Source organism: Homo sapiens, chromosome 14 (genome assembly GCF_000001405.40).
Source record: "Homo sapiens chromosome 14, GRCh38.p14 Primary Assembly".
In the NCBI taxonomy this organism is placed as follows: Eukaryota; Metazoa; Chordata; class Mammalia; order Primates; family Hominidae; genus Homo; species Homo sapiens.
Genome location: NC_000014.9, coordinates 30,895,661 through 30,914,155, shown reverse-complemented (window position 1 = coordinate 30,914,155; position 18,495 = coordinate 30,895,661). Strand labels below are relative to the sequence as shown.

The 18,495-nt window shown below is 36.0% G+C and overlaps 1 protein-coding gene across 5 annotated transcripts in view; it reads left to right on the top strand.

Moving 5' to 3' along the window:
- Positions 1 to 18,495, top strand: part of STRN3 (striatin 3) — a 132,576-nt gene that overhangs the window by 112,224 nt on the left and 1,857 nt on the right. For all 5 annotated transcript variants that reach the window (NM_014574.4, XM_005267569.5, XM_005267570.5 and 2 more), the window contains 8 exons: positions 499 to 632; positions 1,974 to 2,149; positions 2,332 to 2,379; positions 2,994 to 3,115; positions 7,112 to 7,279; positions 8,598 to 8,738; positions 11,513 to 11,620; positions 18,408 to 18,494. In NM_014574.4, the coding sequence (NP_055389.3) occupies positions 499 to 632; positions 1,974 to 2,149; positions 2,332 to 2,379; positions 2,994 to 3,115; positions 7,112 to 7,279; positions 8,598 to 8,738; positions 11,513 to 11,620; positions 18,408 to 18,494 (984 nt within the window). The remainder of the gene's footprint in view (positions 1 to 498; positions 633 to 1,973; positions 2,150 to 2,331; positions 2,380 to 2,993; positions 3,116 to 7,111; positions 7,280 to 8,597; positions 8,739 to 11,512; positions 11,621 to 18,407; position 18,495) is intronic.

The following is an 18,495-nucleotide window of genomic DNA, read 5'->3' as shown; positions in this document are numbered from 1 at the left end:
TCAGGGACTAGGATGCCTAGTACTTCTTTAGAAAGCAAAAGGACTTGGTGACAACCTATTAACATTTAAAAAATACTATATGACTACTTTGAGGTCCTTGAGGTCCATGGTAGAGGTTTCCCCTCATGAATGCAAAAATCTGATATTTAACTCCATTATTTAATCAAAATTTGTCCTATTTCTTATTTAACATGTAAACTATAGTTATAATTGTACTGAAGTGATAAGAGATTTAGACAGACAAAGCTTTTGTGCCCTAGCTTCCACCCCAGAATAATATATCTAGTGCACATTTTATTTGTGGACAGTTAATACACCACAGTTCCAACACATTTGTTTAACACTGCTTAGTAACAGGATTTTTTGAGTAGAAGTGGGAAAATAAAAATTAATTATATTACTGAATATTGTAACTGTTAAGTGCTTAAATTTTCCCCACAATATTGTCTTGTACTGTATGATTTTTCAGCATTTAAGAAGCGGTTTTGTTCTTTATAGCTGAACCAATAACGTTTCCATCTGGAGGAGGCAAGTCATTTATTATGGGTTCTGATGATGTTTTGTTAAGTGTACTGGGCCTTGGAGACCTTGCAGACTTGACGGTAACAAATGATGCAGACTATAGTTATGATGTAAGTGCAGTTTTATTTTTAATTTTTTAATGATTTAATAGAAGGCTCCTTATTTTTTGGAATCACTTATAAAACAGAATTAATATCAAGGTGCATGGAAAAGATAAGTTTGTGTCAATGTGTTGATTTGAAGTGACATGTTTTTCTTTTATAACTACTCTCTTTGTGGTATTTAAATTTTTTTTTTAGGTATTTTGGTGGATTAACTAGAAGTTTGAGATGATTAATATATTGGTCAGTAAATACATCTTGAGTAGTCAACTCTCAATTATCTCAAATTAAGCCATATTTTGGTGTTAACAAGAAAAAAAATAACCTGAATCATATATTTGCCTTCAGAGTACTTCTTAAAAAGCATGTTTTATTTTTGAACTTTTATTTTCTTAAGGAAATATTTTAAAGTTTCTGAACATTTTAAAGTTAGCTTGCATCATTTCCTGAATACTTAACTCCTTCATTAGAGGATTGGGGAGTGGATGGAAGGGTTGGGGAGTGGGGAGTCCAGTGTTAGAGGTGAAACTTGTCTTGGATTTAATTTTTTCTAGTCATTAATATTTCAATTGAGAGTTAACTATACTTGTTAGATCTTTATGTTAATTGCAGTTTTTCAGCAATTTTTTTTTCTTTTTATAATGAGTTTCTTTTTTCCACGTTTTATACTTAACATTAGCATGCTTAGAGACAGCCTTTGGTGGGCTGGATTATTCTCATTAATATATTTTTTTAAGTATATAAGTGACTAAATTCCAGTAAACTTTTGACTGCTTTAGAAGTGGTTTCACAGCCTATCTTTACAGATGGAGAAATGTGAAGGTAAAAAGATAAACCTCTGTCAATATCAAGAATTATGAAAATGGGATAAAAATATTCTTAAAGGGTCTTTAGTTCAGACTTTCAGAAAGTACCTTAACTTGCTGCCTTTAATAATTTCACATGCTAATACGTTTTCTAAATGACAACTTTACTGTTAATACTGTACCGTTGGATATTTGTAATAACTTATGTAATTATTTTTCATGTAAAGTATTGCAGCAATGGTAGTTATTTTGTTCTCATCTGACATTTAATGGGAGCTTTGGGTTTAGCTTAATAGGTAAAAACAGATTAAGGAACTCTTCATTTGACCTAGGCTATTTGTAAGGCGAATGAAATTATTCTGAGTTATTATTAAATGATAAAGTTTTTTTAGAAAGTTTTAAAGGTACATTAAATTTCCACTGGACATTTTAGCCAACAGTTTTAAATATATGTGTTAAACACACCAAAAAGAAACGAACAAACACTCCACATGCCTTCCAGTTTACTACTTTTACCACTAAATATTGTGCTCTTTCCTTTTAGTTGCCTGCTAATAAAGATGCCTTTCGAAAGACATGGAATCCCAAGTATACACTACGTAGCCATTTTGATGGAGTACGGGCATTAGCTTTTCATCCTGTAGAACCTGTGCTGGTTACTGCTTCTGAGGACCATACCCTGAAACTTTGGAACCTGCAAAAAACAGTTCCTGCCAAAAAGCAAGTATTTTAGTGTTAGCCTGGTGTATTTCTTCCAATTTTGCTAATATAAGTAATTATTCCTCATTATTGTTGCATGTCTTTAATGCACACATTTGATCTAATGACTATTTAATATCAACCAGTGATTCATAGTTATTTAATTGCCTTCTCTTCCCCTACCCTTTTTCCCCCTCTTTTAGGAGTGCCTCTTTAGATGTAGAGCCTATCTACACATTTAGGGCCCACATGTAAGTTTTACTGAATTGGTATTTAATTAACATCATCATTATTGTTAAATATTATTTATCGGTCCTCAAACCTTGTAATTTTCTCAATGTTTTGTATTAGAAAAGATGTATTACTTGAATAATAGCTATTTAATAATTGTATTGGTGAGACTATGAATATAATAGTACCATTCAGGCCAGATGCAGTAGTTCATGCCTGTAATCTGAGGATTTTCGGAGGCTGAGGCGGGCAGATCACTTGAGGTCAGGAGTTCGAGACCAGCCTGGCCAACATGGTGAAACTCCGTCTCTACCACAAAATACAAAAATTAGCTGGGCATGTTGGCGTGCGCTTGTAGTCTCAGCAACTCAGTAGGCTGAGGCAGGAGAATCGCTCGAACCTGGGAGGTGGAGGTTTTACTGAGCAGAGATCACCACTGCATTCCAGTCTGGGCTGGTGACAGAGTGAGACCCTGTCTCCAAAAAAAAAAAAAAAAAAAAAGTACCAGTCAGGTGTACATGTTCTCTTAAAACAGTTTTTAGATATTACATAAATTCAGAGGTTGGGGGAATGGAGATTTGAGTTTCTTCTTAGAATTTATCAGTAATTTGTTTTTCCTCTCTTCCTACAATAGCGGCCCTGTTCTGTCATTAGCTATTAGTTCTAATGGAGAACAGTGTTTTAGTGGTGGTATTGATGCAACCATCCAGTGGTGGAATATGCCGAGTCCCAGTGTAGATCCATATGATACATATGGTAAGTAAAATGATCAAAATGTATTTTTTTTAAGTGAATGGAGCTGACAAAAGTAAATACCTCAAATATGATTACAAGGTTATTTAAACCTATATTAGTCACCTCATTTAGTTCTTCCATTTGCTAATAAATTGCTTTATTAAAGAGAAAAATTAGGAAATGTCATGCCATGGGTATTTAAGCCTATGAATTGATACTTTCTCTGTTGTTTAAAAAACTATATTAATTAAAATGTTAATTTAGGTAGTAGTTACAAAAAGAAGGAGGAAACAAAATGTAATCTAAGTAACAAAATTTTGAACTTAAGAAATAGTTTATATATTTTAAAAATATTAAGCAAAAGACAATGGAACCAACATCAGGGGTATAAATCATTAAAACTTTTTGGAGCCAAAAATTTTTTTTGTTATTCTTAGCTCATATCTACAAAAACATTCTTAATTTCAAAATGGAAGAAAAAAAAAAAGAAAGGAAACCTCCTTTGACTTGCAAATGTAGCTTTTAGAAATCTGTTCTACAGAAACACCTACCTGTACCTGTGTTCAAATATATTTGTAAGGGCACTGTTAATAATTATAAAACGTTAAAACAAAATGTTTATGAACTCTTTGTTCTTTTTATTTAACACACACATTGTGCCTACATTAGCTAGGCATTGTGGTAAGCACTATGTCAAGAAATAAGATTTAGACTAATGGAAAGTAGAGACATAAAACAGATAAGCGAAGGGATGGGATCTATGGTTACAAATTGTGATAAATGATAAGAAGATAGAGTACTGTTGAGAGGGCGTAACAGGCAGAACCTTCTCTAGAAGAGTTAGTCAAGAAAGGTCTTTCTAAAATAGTGACATTCAAGCCAAAATCTGAAGGATAAGAGGAAACTTTCAGTAAAGAGTTTTAAGCCAGAAAGTTATCTGATAAATGTAAGGTTTTAAAAAGGTGACTGTGTCTGTTGTGAGAAGAATAAATTGGGGGCGAGAAGAGTGGAAAGAGAAATACCAGTTAGGAGGCTGCTGTCATAAAGTAGTCCAGTAAACTAGGTGACAAACGACATTGCCAAGATTAGAGTGGTGGTAGCACAGCATTTAGAAGTGGTTTTAAGATACGCTGAGGGAGTGTGGTAGAATAGACAGGATTTATTGATAAATTATGTTGAGTAGATAAAGTGATGGGTGAGTGACTCTTAATTTGTATGTGTTTAACTGCTTTACTGAGATAATTTACATATCACAAAATTCACCCTTTTAAAGTATACAGTTCAGGCTGGACACAATGGTCCATGCCTGTAATCCCACCACTTTGGGAGGCCGAAGTGGGTGGATCACTTGAGGCCAGGAGTTCAAGACCAGCCTGGGCAACACAGTGAGACCTCATGTCTGCCAAAAATTTAAAGATTTGCCAGATGGGGTGTCACATGCCTATAGTCCCAGACACTCGGGAGGCTGAGCTGGGAGGATCACTTGAGTGTGAGAAGTAAAGGCTGTAGTGAGCTATGATGGTGCCAGTGTACTCCAGCCTGGGAAGAGAGTGAGACCCAATCTCTCTCTCTCTCTCTCTTTCTTTTTTGGAAACAGTCTTGCTCTGTCTCCTAGGCTGGAGGGCAGTGGCGTGATCTTGGCTTACTGCAACCTCCGCCTCCCAGGCTGAGGAGCTGGGACCACAGGTGTGAGCCACCACACCGCACTAATTTTTGTATTTTTTGTAGAAATGGTGGCCATGTTGCCCGGGGTGGTCTTAAACTCCTGGGCTCAAGTGATCTGCCTGCCTCAGCCTCCCAAAGTATTGGGATCACAGGCATGAGCCACTATGTGCAGCCACAAGACCCCATCTCTAAAAAAAAATTAAAGTCTACAGTTCAGTAGTTTTTACTATGTTCACAAAGTTGTACAGCCATCATCACTAATTTCAGAACATTCACAAAGTTTTACAGCCATCATCACTAATTTCAGAACATTTCAAACATTCAGAACATTCAGTCCTGTTTGATGTGAGTAACTGAGCATGTGATGGGAGCATTTATTGAAACGAGGACAGAACAGGTGTGAGGAGATTTAAGATGGTGAGTTCAGATTTTAGGCATGTTAAAGGATGACAAATATCAAGTAGGTAATATACAAATAAGGAGCCCAAAGAGATCTCGATTGAAGTTAAAAACATGGACAGTCTTCTCTATACAAATAATACATTAAACTATAAGAATGGGCAATACTGGGGGAGTGTATTGTTTGGTGTAAGAAGAGAAGACAACCTGGGACTAAAGTCCTCAGTAACTCTGACACTGGAAGAGTGGCTAGAGCAAGAGAGCCAAGAAAGGAAACTGAGGAGGTGTGACCCAAGAGACAGAAGGAAGTGCAGGAGAGGGTGCGAAATCATGGAAGCGCACACTAAAGAAGAAACAATTTTGAGAAGAAAGAAGCAGTCTGCACTTTCGAATGTTGCTGAGAGGTCCAATAATATGATATAAAGTTTCCTTTTTATAAGTGACTAGCAGGTCACCCAGGTCTTGGCCAGACAGAGTTTGGACGCTGCAGCTAAGACTGAAGAATGAAGGGACCTCTGGATAATCTTTCATGTCAGACTATATGGATGAAAAGCAATATAATGGGAACAACAACAAAATGTTTTGTATCATCAAAGAAAAGTATTAAATTTGATAGTGTAGGGATCATCATTAGCAAGGATTGTTTTGGTGTGGTAGTGGTATCAGAAACCAAATTGGAGTGATTTGAAGAGTAAACAGGAAGTGAAAAGCATATTTCTATTGCTGGGTGGAAGGGGTGGTAGGATAGGATTAATGAAGATTTTTTGTTGAAGAGATTCTGGAACAAGTTTTTTTTCACTATGGTAATGATTCCAAGGAGGAGAATTTGTGTAGTAGAGAAGCAGTAAACATTACAGCAAGTTAGTGACATCTGGTATTAGCCTTTGATAGGATGGAGGACAGATTCCTTGCTTGTATCTGGAAGCTAGGAGAAGATACCTTTAGACACTAATCATTTATATATTACGCAGCAAGAAGATGGGGGATAAGAAACATGCAGCATTATTTGAATGCTATATTTTCTCAGTGAAATATGAGGCATAGTCATTCATGAGGAAGAGAGGTTGGGAGCTGTGAGAATTGTGGAGATGATAAGAACCATTCATGGAAAGTGGGAGGAGTTTACTAGAAAAACAGGATTGTCAGACAAATTATGCTCAATGTTATCAGCTGTCAAATGTCTGTCAGTTAAGGAACAGATAAATAAAATATGGTATATCCATACAGCAGAATATTATTTGGCACTAAAAATAAATGGAGTACTGATACATGCTCCAACATGGATAAACCTTGAAAACATGTTCAGTGACCAGGAGTTCAAGGCTGCAGTGGACTGTGACCATGCCACTGTACTCCAGCCTGGGTGATAGAGCAAGACCCTATTTCAAAAAGAAAAAAAGAAAACATACTCAGTGAAAGAACCCAGTCACAAAAGACCACATATTGTATGATTCCATTTATAGAAAATGTTCAGAAAGACACATCTATAGAGACAGAGCATTAGTTGTTGCCTAGACTTGTGGAAAGGTGGGGAGGAGGAATTGGGGGAAGTGACTAATGAGTGATGAAAGTACCCTAAAATTGATTGTCATGATGGTTGTATAACTCTGTGAACAACATACCAAAAATCATTGAAGTATACACTTTAAATGAGAGAGTTGTATGGTATGTAAATTATATCTGTATCTCAAGAAAGCTGTTTTAAAAAAAAAAAAAAGCATATGTTTCTTTATAGAAAATTGTGAAAATACAGAAAAATGTTGATGGGAGGAGGGTATAAAAGTAGGCCATAACTCTACTCTTAGATATAGCCACTATGTACACTTTAGTTTATCTTCTTGTGGCCTTTATGTGTGTTCTTTATGCTCAGTTATATGGTAAGTTTTCTTTATGTATCAAAGTTTCTTTTAAACTTCTTTTACCTAATTTTTTGTTTGTTTGTTTTTTCCCCAGAGCCAAATGTTCTAGCTGGCACTTTAGTTGGTCATACAGATGCAGTTTGGGGTCTTGCTTATAGTGGCATAAAAAATCAATTACTGTCTTGTTCAGCAGATGGCACTGTTAGGTTATGGAATCCACAAGAAAAATTGCCATGTATTTGCACTTACAATGGAGATAAAAGTAAGTAAATTTTGCATCTGTGAGAAAAGTTAGTTTTTTTAAAAAATTGGAATATATAAAGGACAAAGTAATTGATGTATTTCTTTACTGTTCCAAAGAGATATATTGAATGAATTTTGTAAAAGTTAGGATAAACTTTTTACTCATTTTTTTGAAGTGCTTTGCAACTATGTCCTGTAGTGCAATGCTTTTTTACCTTTTTTGTATTCCATTTTTTAAAAATGTAAAACTATTGTATATAACAGTGGAATAGACAAATGAGGATACTCATAGGGACAACAGGAGGCACACCACCTGTTCCAGACGACTACCCCACAAAGACCGAAGGGATCACAGTCTCAAGCATACCTATAAACCCTGTGTTCCATTACCTCGAGCACACTAGTTGAGTAGTCCAGCCATAGTCACTGAACCCCTAACTGGAACAGTACAAATTGGGTTATTTTCATGATTTTAAATATTTTCCTATTTAAAAAGGCTTTAACCAGTTTACCTTTTGAAGACATTTACTGGTCTTATTTTCCAAGTCATTTTAAATTTTTTTAATTAGACCTTTTATTTGTACATAAAAATACATATTGTTTTAAAACATTTTAGGTGAATAGTAAATATATAATTTTGTGTCTCTTAGACACCGTAGTGATTGTACTAATTTTCAGTTATCCAAGCTTTAGAGGTAAGAATTCATTTAGGTATTTGTTTCTGGCTTCATCTAGATAGTTAATAGCTTGGCTCCATATTCCATCTAATTGTGCATTGATCTGGCTAGTTTAATTTAGTATGTTAAAGAGAGAAATTGCTGCTCAGGCCATTTTAGGGTAAAGTACTGCATCAGCTGATTCCAGAGTCCAAGCCATTTTCATGAGTCCAAAAATCTGACTTGTATTAGCTGCTTGATAAGGCCTACAGATCTCTGATAGGTGAACCAGTCTCCCAAAGTTATGTGAGAATGCTAATTTATCATTTTACAGTAAGAAGTATAATTGGCAAATTGGCCAAAAGACTAGGATTTTATTTAATCCCTTAGAAGAAAACGTGTAATAGAACAAATAACTTTTGCATGTATTTACTCTTTATGAGCTCTGTAGTTATATTTTTCTTACAATATTAAATAGAATGCTATAAAGTTTTTAAATAATTGAGGAAAAGATATTTCTTATCTCACCATCCTGACACAGTTGTGTTCCTTTTCATTATTAACAGTATTTCAAGACTATTTGAATTCCTTTTTCTGATTAGAAAAACAGAGATTTCAAAAAGTAGAGATTTCATAGTAATTTTACTTTGTTTACATTGTCTGTCTTTGGGCTCATTTCAGAGCATGGAATACCTACATCAGTTGACTTTATAGGCTGTGATCCAGCTCATATGGTAACCTCTTTCAACACTGGTAGTGCAGTAATTTATGATTTAGAAACATCACAGTCATTGGTGATACTTTCATCACAGGTAGATTCTGGTAAGTTTTCATGGAGTTTCTTTGAAACCTTAAAAAGGGTTATTACACAATAGAGGGTGATCTTTTAGCTAATTTTCATATTTTCACTATTTGAATTTAGGATGGCAAAATAATTAGTTTCATAATGTTACAGTTATACTTATTTATATTATGTCTGCTTTTTCTTCAAATTTTGCTTAAAAGCTTGGGTGGACATATGGGAAAAGAGGAATGTCTAGAGCAATATGAAGGTGAAAGTAGAGAAAATAACATAATGAACTTAATGTACTCAGCATTCAGTTTTAATACCTATCTATAAATGCCCAGTATTACACATGCATTATGTGGTGTTTTACAGTTTATTTAGATAGGGATCACATAAGATTTATGTATTGCAGTTGTTTGATAGGTCTCTCAGGTCTCTCTTCATCCATAGATTCCCCTTCATCTCTTTTATGTTCTTTTTTTTTTTTTTTTAATTGACGAAATTGGCTACTTTGTCTTGTCAAGTTTCCGACAGTCTGGATTTTGCTAGTTGCATTCCTGTGTTATTTAATGTGCTTCTCTATTTCTATTCACAGTTCTCCTGTGAATTGATTATAGATCTAAAGACTTATTCAAATTCAGGTTCACTGTTTTTTTCTTTTAAAAATTTTTAAATGTTCTTGGCAACTTTACTTCATAAGTAATTTGTAAGCTTTTATCAGAGGTGAGTATTTTCTGGTTGTTCATGTTTTTGTGATGTTTTCAGTCTGGATTATTTCCTGGGTTCATTCATTTTCTATTGAAAGATTTTCTAATTTTATCATTCCCTCTCCATTTATTAGCTAGATTATTCCTATAAAAAAGAACATCTCTTTATCAACAATTTGGTTACCTTGGAGTTAGTGTGTATTAAGGAAAAAGGCAAGATAAATGATTGGGTTTTGGTTTTCCCCTTTATTTACCAGTTTTTAAAATAATGAGTTGGTTTGCTAGCACCCTCTAAAGGTGACCAGTTTGTCTTGGGTGGTGTTTTTGGTATCATCATACTCTCTCATGGATATAAATGTATTTGATGTGTTTTGATCCATTGCAGGTATTATCTTTATTTATTGCTGTTCAGATCCTTTGATTTTGGCCAGTGGGGCTTACTCAGTGGGGCTCATGTTGGCTCCTGAGTCCTTTTGCCATGACTTTGGTTGTTGTTGATAGCTTCCTGATATGACATATGACAAGATCTTCTAGGTTCATGTTGTTCATTTTGTGCCCTAGATCTGAAATCAGCTATTTATCTAAGGAGTTGTGGTTTCTTTTAGTGGGAAATGGTATTTAGAGACTACAGTTGGGGTACTAGGCTGTTGAGTTGATCCTCATGGTCTTCATGGCTCCTGGGTTGTTCATTGTGTTAGGCTTTTTCAATGGACAGAGCTAAGAAATAAACATTTTTTAAAAAGTAAAATACTTCAACTTCAGATTTATCTTGGTTCTCAACAAAATTGTTTCTCATTTTATTTACCCCACAGTGTACACAGAATCGTCTCAGTAATAATACCATTACCACCAAAAGATCAAATATTGATAATAAAACTTTGTAATTAGGGTATATTCCACTAGTGATATACAATCTAATTTCTATGCTTTAAAGTCACTTGGAATAGTTCCTTCCTTTGTAGTTACACCACCAGTTGGATATACTTAAGTTCATTTGTTTAATTTTACTTTTGATTTTCATTAATTTCTTTTAGAAAAACAACTGTTGGCTGGGCGCATTGGCTCATGCCTGTAATCTCACCACTTTGGGAGGCCAATGTGGGAAGATAGCTTGAGGCTAGGAGTAGAGACCAGTCTGGGCAACATAGTGAGACCCCATCTCTACCAAAAACTTAAAAAATTAGGTGGGCATGGTGATGTGTGCCTGTAGTCCTAGCTTTGGAGACTGAAGCAGGAGAAGCCCTTGAGCTCAGGAGTTCAAGGTTACAGTGAGCTATGATTGCACCATTGCACTCCAGCCTAGGTGACAGAGTGAGTCCTTGTCTCTTAAACAAAAAAAATTGTTTTATAATTATGTAAAATATTTACATGGTGCCATGGTCAGATCTTAAACCAAAATTATCTTCTAAGTCTCTTTCCCAGTATCTCCTCAAACCTATTTTTTTAATTACTCTACATAGGTAACTATATATATATATGTATTTTTTATATGTTTAGGTGTAATATATGAGTTGCGATACATAAGCAGAATGAATGATCTAAAGTCTATTAATATTGAGGAGTTTCCCCCCATTTATTTGTTTTGATATTTCTCTGTTCTCTCTCATCTTTAATAAAAAGTTAGTAAGAGCTTACTGGTAAAGAAAAAAATCTCATCTTTAAAGATCATTAATTCCAGTTCTTTGTTTTTTTGTTTTTGTCAGTGTAGGTAGATGGGGGTTGTTCCTTACAAACATCTGACTAGCAATTGTGAATGTTTTCCTTCTTTAAATGCTTATAACTCTTATATGGACTGTGTATTAGAAGTAATAATTGTGGATCTTTTAAAAATTCTAAACTACCTATAATAAAGGGTGGCATTAAAACACTTCTCAGTTTTTCTAAATTTGAGCCTAGTACAGTCTATATTATAGGACATAATAATGTAAATGTTTATTTTTTAAAAATCTCTCTAGAGTCCTTGTTTGGTTCTCAGATTTTTTGTTTTATGCAAAAGGTTTAGTTTTTAATGATTTTTATATTTTAGCACGATTAAAAAGGCCATTATCCAACTTCTTATTAAAGGTTTGAATTTTAACTTATTGTCTTCCTTTATTTTTCAGGTTTACAATCTAATAATCATATCAACAGAGTAGTAAGTCATCCCACACTTCCTGTTACAATAACTGCTCATGAAGATAGACACATCAAATTTTTTGACAATAAAACGGGTAAGCAAATTGTCTTCTTTTCATATTAGTAATACTGTAAATTTGAGATGATCAAAAATGCTGTTTTATGTAAGATATATTGACTTTTCAGATACGAAATTGCCAAATGAAACCATTTTAACTCAGATTTTTGCTTTTCTTAATGTTGCACGCTTATGATTTGTTATTTTATCCTTAACTAGACATAATACCTTGCCTAGCTATTACGATTTCTTCAAGTCATGTTAGTTAAATGTAGATCCTTCCATTTGAAATTTTTCCCTCATATTCTGTTATGAATAAGTATGATGGAAGAGGTAGATCTCTTTCTGGTGTTTGGCATTTCCATTTTTTTTTTTTTTTTTTTTTTTTTTTTTTTTTTTTTGAGGCGGAGTTTTGCTCTTGTTGCCCAGGCTGGTGTGCAATGGTGCAATCTCAGCTCACTGCAATCTCGGCCTCTTGAGTTCAAGCGATTATCCTGCCTCAGCCTCCCGAGTCGCTGGGATTACAGGCATGCACCACCATACCTGGCTAATTTTTTTTGTATTTTTAGTAGAGACGGGGTTTCTCCATGTTGGTCAGGCTGGTCTCGAACTCCTGACCTCAGATGATCCACCTGCCTTGGCCTCCCAAAGTGCTGGGATTACAGGCATGAGCCACCGCGCCCGGTCGTCCAATATGTTCTTACAACTATGTCTCAGTGGATCAAATGACATTATAGTGCATAGTGTTTATTATCATCTTCCCTGTATTTCTTGTTGTAGGGAAATATACCAGTTGTATTGAAGTCGAATCAGATTTTAACTTAGCCATAGATGTGTGGTTGTTTTTTGTTTGTTTGTTTGTTTGTTTTGGGCCTCTTTTTTATCTAGTCATTACCTAGAATAATAGATAATAGATAGCTTGCTCTCTTTCAGGAAAGGTCTGACAGCTAGGAAGGCTACTTTGAGGAGAGGCTAAAACAGTCAGGGTACTGAAGGACTTCTAAATAAGAAATGTAAATGTTAATTGCAACATTGTTACAGGGTAACAAATTATCAAGTAAGACAGTGACCCAGAATTATAGGTTTCTCTTTGAAGATTATATAGAAAATGGCAATATGTTTTAGTCTGTAGTCTTAACAATGAGACCCTTTTGTTCAAACATTACTTTCATGGACAGATTCTTTTTAACAAATTGCAGACAAAGTGAATATTTACAGGTCTACATTGTGCACAGGACATAAGATTCAAGTGGATGTTCTTTTTAAAAAAAATATTTAAATTTTTTTTTTTTTTTATAGAGACAGGGTCTCACTGTGTTGCCCAGGCTGGTCTTAAACTCCTGGGCTCAAGTAGTCCTCCCATGTCAGCCTCCCAAAATGCTGGGATTACAGGCATGAGCCACTGCTCCTGGCCAGTGTTCCCAATTTAACACTTCATCAAATCAATCCTTTGAACTATTTTTATGAAACCGATAATGTTTTTCTCTGCTGCAAGAGCAAAGAGGTTAATTTCCTTTGTGTTTCTAAAAAGATTCCTGTTTATTAATTATTGAAGATTTACAGTTATATGGGAAAGTTCAGGAATTTTAGTAGTTATATTAAAAGCAAAAGGTGAGCATCTGAAAAGCTATTTTATTAGCAGAAATCAAGAAAGTGGTCAGTAAAAGCTTACTCAATATCAAATAAGCAGCATATAGTCTTTCAAATTGTTTCCAAATTTCACCTATTTATTATTTCTGTTAACTAGTACCTTACCTGTAGTATGAAGATAATTGAAGCAGTAGGCTCCAAATAATAGAAAAAAAAATCCTTTTTTTTTTTTTTTGAGCCAGTCTTGCTCTGTTGCCCAGAGCTATAGTGCAGTGGCACCATCTCAGCTCACTGTAACCTCCGCCTCTTGGGTTCAATTGATTCTGGTGCCTCAGCCTCCCACATAGCTGGGTGGGACTACAGGGTGGGACTACAGGTGTGTGCCACCATGTCCAGCTAATTTTTGTATTTTCACCAAGTTGGCCAGGCTGGTCTTGAACTCCTGGGCTCAAGTGATCTACCCGCCTCAGTCTCCCAAAGTTCTGGGATTACAGGCGTAAGCCACTGTGCCTGAACACACACACACACCGCCCCCCCCCGCCCCACACCCCCCGTTGAGTTACATGAAACTATGAGTTGTCTTCAGATGTATGTTTTTTTGGTGTGGTTTTTTTTTTTTTTTTGAGATGGAGTTTCATTCTTATTGCCCAGGTTGGAGTGCAGTGGCACGATCACGGCTCACTGCAACCTCTGCCTCCTGGGTTCAAGTGATTCTCCCGGCTCACCCTCCTGAGTAGCTGGGATTATAGGCGTCTGCTACCACGCCTGTCTAATTTTTTATATTTTTAGTAGAGACAGGCTTTCAGCATGTTGGCCAGGCTGGTCTTGAACTCCTGACCTCAGGTGATCCGCCCACCTTGGCCTCCCAAAGTGCTGGGATTATAGGTGTGAGCCACTGCGCCCGGCCTGGATATGGTGTTTTCAGAGAAGTTCTTTAAAAACTCATTTAATTGTGGTAAAATAGATTGTCCCCGTAACTGCTGTTTCCGGTTAGCTAAGTTGTTTTTAATAGAGTATTACTTTATAAAATGAGTATTAAATTTATTGAGCTTTTATATCTGAAACATGATAGAACTTTATGCTATGAATAGGTTCAATAATTATTTAAATGAGTAAACCATTTTAATAAAAATGTATTCAGCATTTTGTACTATACTGCACTGGATACTATCATGTATAAGATATGGTTCCTGATTTCTGTGGGCTTGTTGTCTAGAGGAAATAAGAGGGGGTGGGGGGGGTATGTGCAAGATGAAGCTTTGCCTTAGGAATGGAAAGGTGTTTGGGGTTGGTTGGTTTTTAAGTGAAGGAAGTGGTAGTAGGAAGTTACAGGTATGGGGATATTTTGAGCAGAGGTGCAGTGGTGGAAACTTTCTCAGGAACAGAAGTTTCTTATAGACAAAGCCAAAGACAAAGTTTGGGGAAGGAAAATAGAATCTATTGAGGAGGACTTTTAGAACCAGGTTAAGAATATTGAATTTTTATCTATGCTGTATGTGTAGGAACCACTAAAAATATTTGAACAACAGGGCTTGCAAAATTGGTTTAGAAAAACTAATCAAGTCACATTTTGCACTATATGATAGATTCTTGACTTTAAAGGATTTAAAGTTTTCAATTTCTACTATTTATTTCAGAGAGATCTTCAGGACCCATGGTTTCTAAAATTTTGGTAGAGTTACAAATTTGAGTTTCCTATACTGTGTCTGAAAGACTTAGGTAGTGAGTGATTCTGGAAGAACCTTATAGTATGAATGAGGGATGTGGAGGAGTGGGAGGAAGATCTTGTATCAGCTGTGGACTCATTCATTCAGCAAAATGTCTAGACTATCTGCCATATTCTTGGCACAGTTCTTGAAGCTTGGTGAACAGAATAAAATGTCCTGTCCTCTTGGAGCTACAGACTAGTGGTATATTGTCTATTCTGTGTGAGACATTGTTCTAACTCATTTGCTTTTCTAATAACTCTGTAAGGTAGATATAGTACTATTATTATCCCCATTTTACACATGAGGTTGAAGGGCTTAAAGAAGTTAAGTGACTTGTGCAGTATTTAAACTCACACAGTTTGTTTCCGTAGTTTACATTTGACATCTTTATTTTCTCTCCATTTAATAGAGGCCCACAGTGTTAGCCAGTAAAAGGGCTTAAGGTGCCAGGGAGGGGAGAATGGGCATGTGCAGTGGCATCTGTCCAGCCTTTATTTCCTTAGTCATAAGAGGAAAAAATTAGGATTAGTTTTGGTAGAGTATTAGCAGAAGCACGAGGCCAAAATGAAATTGGTTAGATGTGAGAAGCTGCAGGTATATGTTAGTGAAGGAGAGGTCCTCGTTACTGGAAGGGGTCAGAAGCTTTGTGATTTATGTGGTCACCAGTGAAAGCCCAACATACAACTTGGTCCAGCATTGTGTTCTCTATTCATGGTCCATCTGAAGGGATTACTCACATTTTGAAGTGATTTTTGTGACTCTGTGGAGAAGAAGGGTTAACTCTCAATTGACTTAAGATAATCAGGGTGAGGGTTAGTTTAGTGCACAGGCTGGAGAGCTGGAGTTAAACTTGGAAAATTATAGCATCCTTAAAGAAATGTGTAGCTCTTGTATTGGAAAAAAGTCTTTTGGTTTAGAGATGTTAAACTTAGGAGATAGAGGATCATTCTCAAGAGAGAAGTTTGAACTAGATCTGTGAATTGAAACTTACCATCAAGGCTAGGTGTGATGGGTCATGCCTGTAAACCCAGCACTTTGAGAGACTGAGGCAGGAGAATCGCTTGACACCAGGAGTTTGAGACCAGCCTAGGCAACAATACGGGATTCTGTCTCTACAAAAAATTTAAAAATTAGCCAGGCATGGTGTCGTGTGCCTCTAGTACCAGTTAAGTGAGAGGGTTGCTTGAGCCCAGGAATAAGGTTGCAGTGAGCCATGATGGTGCCACTGTACTCTGGCCTGAGTGACAGAGCAAGGCCCTGTCTCAAAAATACAAATAAAATAAATTTTAAAAATAAAACTTACCATCACAGATTTAACATAAGGAAAGCTAATGATACCTGGTATTTAACCCCTAATATTTTGAAAGTATTGTCATGGAGGCCAACCATTTTATACACTGTGGTCTTTTATAGGAATTTTGAGAGGAGTGGATTCTAGAACTGGAAGATAAATTATGTTGAACTAAACAATTGAAGATAGTTTGTTGAAGACTTTTCTGTTCTTTGGGCTAGCAGAGTAGAATTTCTAAGACTATTTTGTTTATTACTCTTAGTATTAATGAGAGTTGTGGTTTGAAATGAGAGACTTTAATTTTGTCTTAAATTTTTGACTTTAATTTTTTTAAATTTTGTCTTCAACTGATAAGTGTTTAATAGTGCTGGAAAGTGATAGGACTTTTCTTCTTTTTTGAGACGGAGTCTCACTCTGTCACCCAGGCTGAAGTGCAGTGGCACGATCTCAGCTCACTGCAGCCTCCACCTCCCGGGTTCAAGCGATTCTCCTGTCTCAGCCTCCCTAGTAGCTGGGATTACAGGTGCTAACCACCACACCCAGCTAATTTTTGTATTTTTAGTAGAGGCAAGGTTTCCCCATGTTGGCCAGGCTGGTCTTGAACTCCTGCCCTCAGGTGATCTGCCCGCTTCAGCCTCCCAAAGTGCTGGGATTACAGGCATGATCCCCCACAGCTGGCCTACTATATTACTTTTTATAGGTTTTTTGGAGTGTATTTTTACACATTTTATTATGTTGTGGTTTTGTATTCAGGTCAACAGCTATAGCCCCATCACAAATAACAAAACTAGACCTCTTTCATATCCTAGTGTAGAGTATCATCATGGGACCAGAGGCATGGCTAATGATTATAACTAGAATTTTGGAAAAAGCCTCTATCTTTCATTAGGGACATCCCAGGCATTTGAGTAATAAAGACTCATTGCTGAGTGAAAGGAGAGTAACTTATAAAAGTATCAGTATTTATATTTTATTGCCTGCCTAGTGAATCAGTTTATAATGCTTTCTATCCATCCAAAGCATATATTACCATTGCAGGATGCCCTTGCCCCAAAGTATTTGTGCAATACAACTTTGTGTTCACAACTTGTCTTTTAAATTCTACTTGCTGTTGAATTCCATTTGCTTGCCAAATCTTCACTGAAGATACTCATTAAGTCACATTTTCCAGAGCAGTGTTTTTGTTAATATCTGGGGAAATCTAGAGTAATTTGTTTACTCCTTTCTTTTTTAGAGTATGTAAAATGATTATATTTCAAAGGATAAGTGAACTGAACTTGATAATGGAATGTTTAGGTAGAAACATATTTTCTGGTGATTTATTTATTGTTAGCCCAGTATATAAAATAGTCTTAAGGTCTTTCACTGACACTTTTCCTTCCTTCTTCCCTCCCCTCCCCTCCCCTCCCCTTCCCTTTCTTTTCTTTCTTCTCTTTTCTCTTTCCTTCCCATTTTCCTTGCCTTTCCTTTCTTGACAGCATTTCACTATGTTGCCCAGGCTAGCTAGAGTACAGTGGCCACTCACAGGCACAGTCATAGTGCACTGCAGCCTTGAACTCCTGGGTTCAAGTGATTCCACAACCTCAGCCTCCTGAGTAGCTTGGAACTACAGGCACACCTCACCACACTTGGCTTATTTAATTCCAGTTTACACGATCTTGAGCCTTTGATGCAATCCTATTGTCATTGCTTTACAGTGTCTATCAGATATTGTCAGATACATGTTACACAGATGTCTTTTTTAGGAGTAATTATTAGAGAAAGTTATGCATTTGAATTAAAATTCTCTTGAAAACATTACCGTAGTGGTGGATGTACCCTTAAAACATTATATTAAGTGAAAGAAGCCAGACACAAAAAGCCACGTATTGTATGAGTTCACTTATACGAAGTATCCAGAATAGGCCAGTCTATAGAAAGAGTCGATTAGTGGTCAGGGGTTGGAGGGGCAAATAGGAGTGACTGCTTAATTGGGTATGGGGTTTCCTTTTCCAGTGATGAAAATGTTCGGAACTCTAGAGAATGGTGATGGTTGTGTAACATTGTGAATGTTCTAAAAGACACAGGATTGTGTACTCAGATGTTTACAGTGGTAAATTTTATGTTGTGTATATTTTACCACAATAAAAAAGTTGCTATAATGATTGTTTTATGTTGATGCTATATTGTAGTTTCTGTTGTCTCGAGTTAGTATTTGTGAAAACTTAATCAGTTCTCTGTTATGTTTTGTTTAGGTAAAATGATCCATTCTATGGTAGCTCACTTGGATGCTGTTACAAGTCTAGCAGTAGATCCTAATGGAATCTATTTGATGTCTGGAAG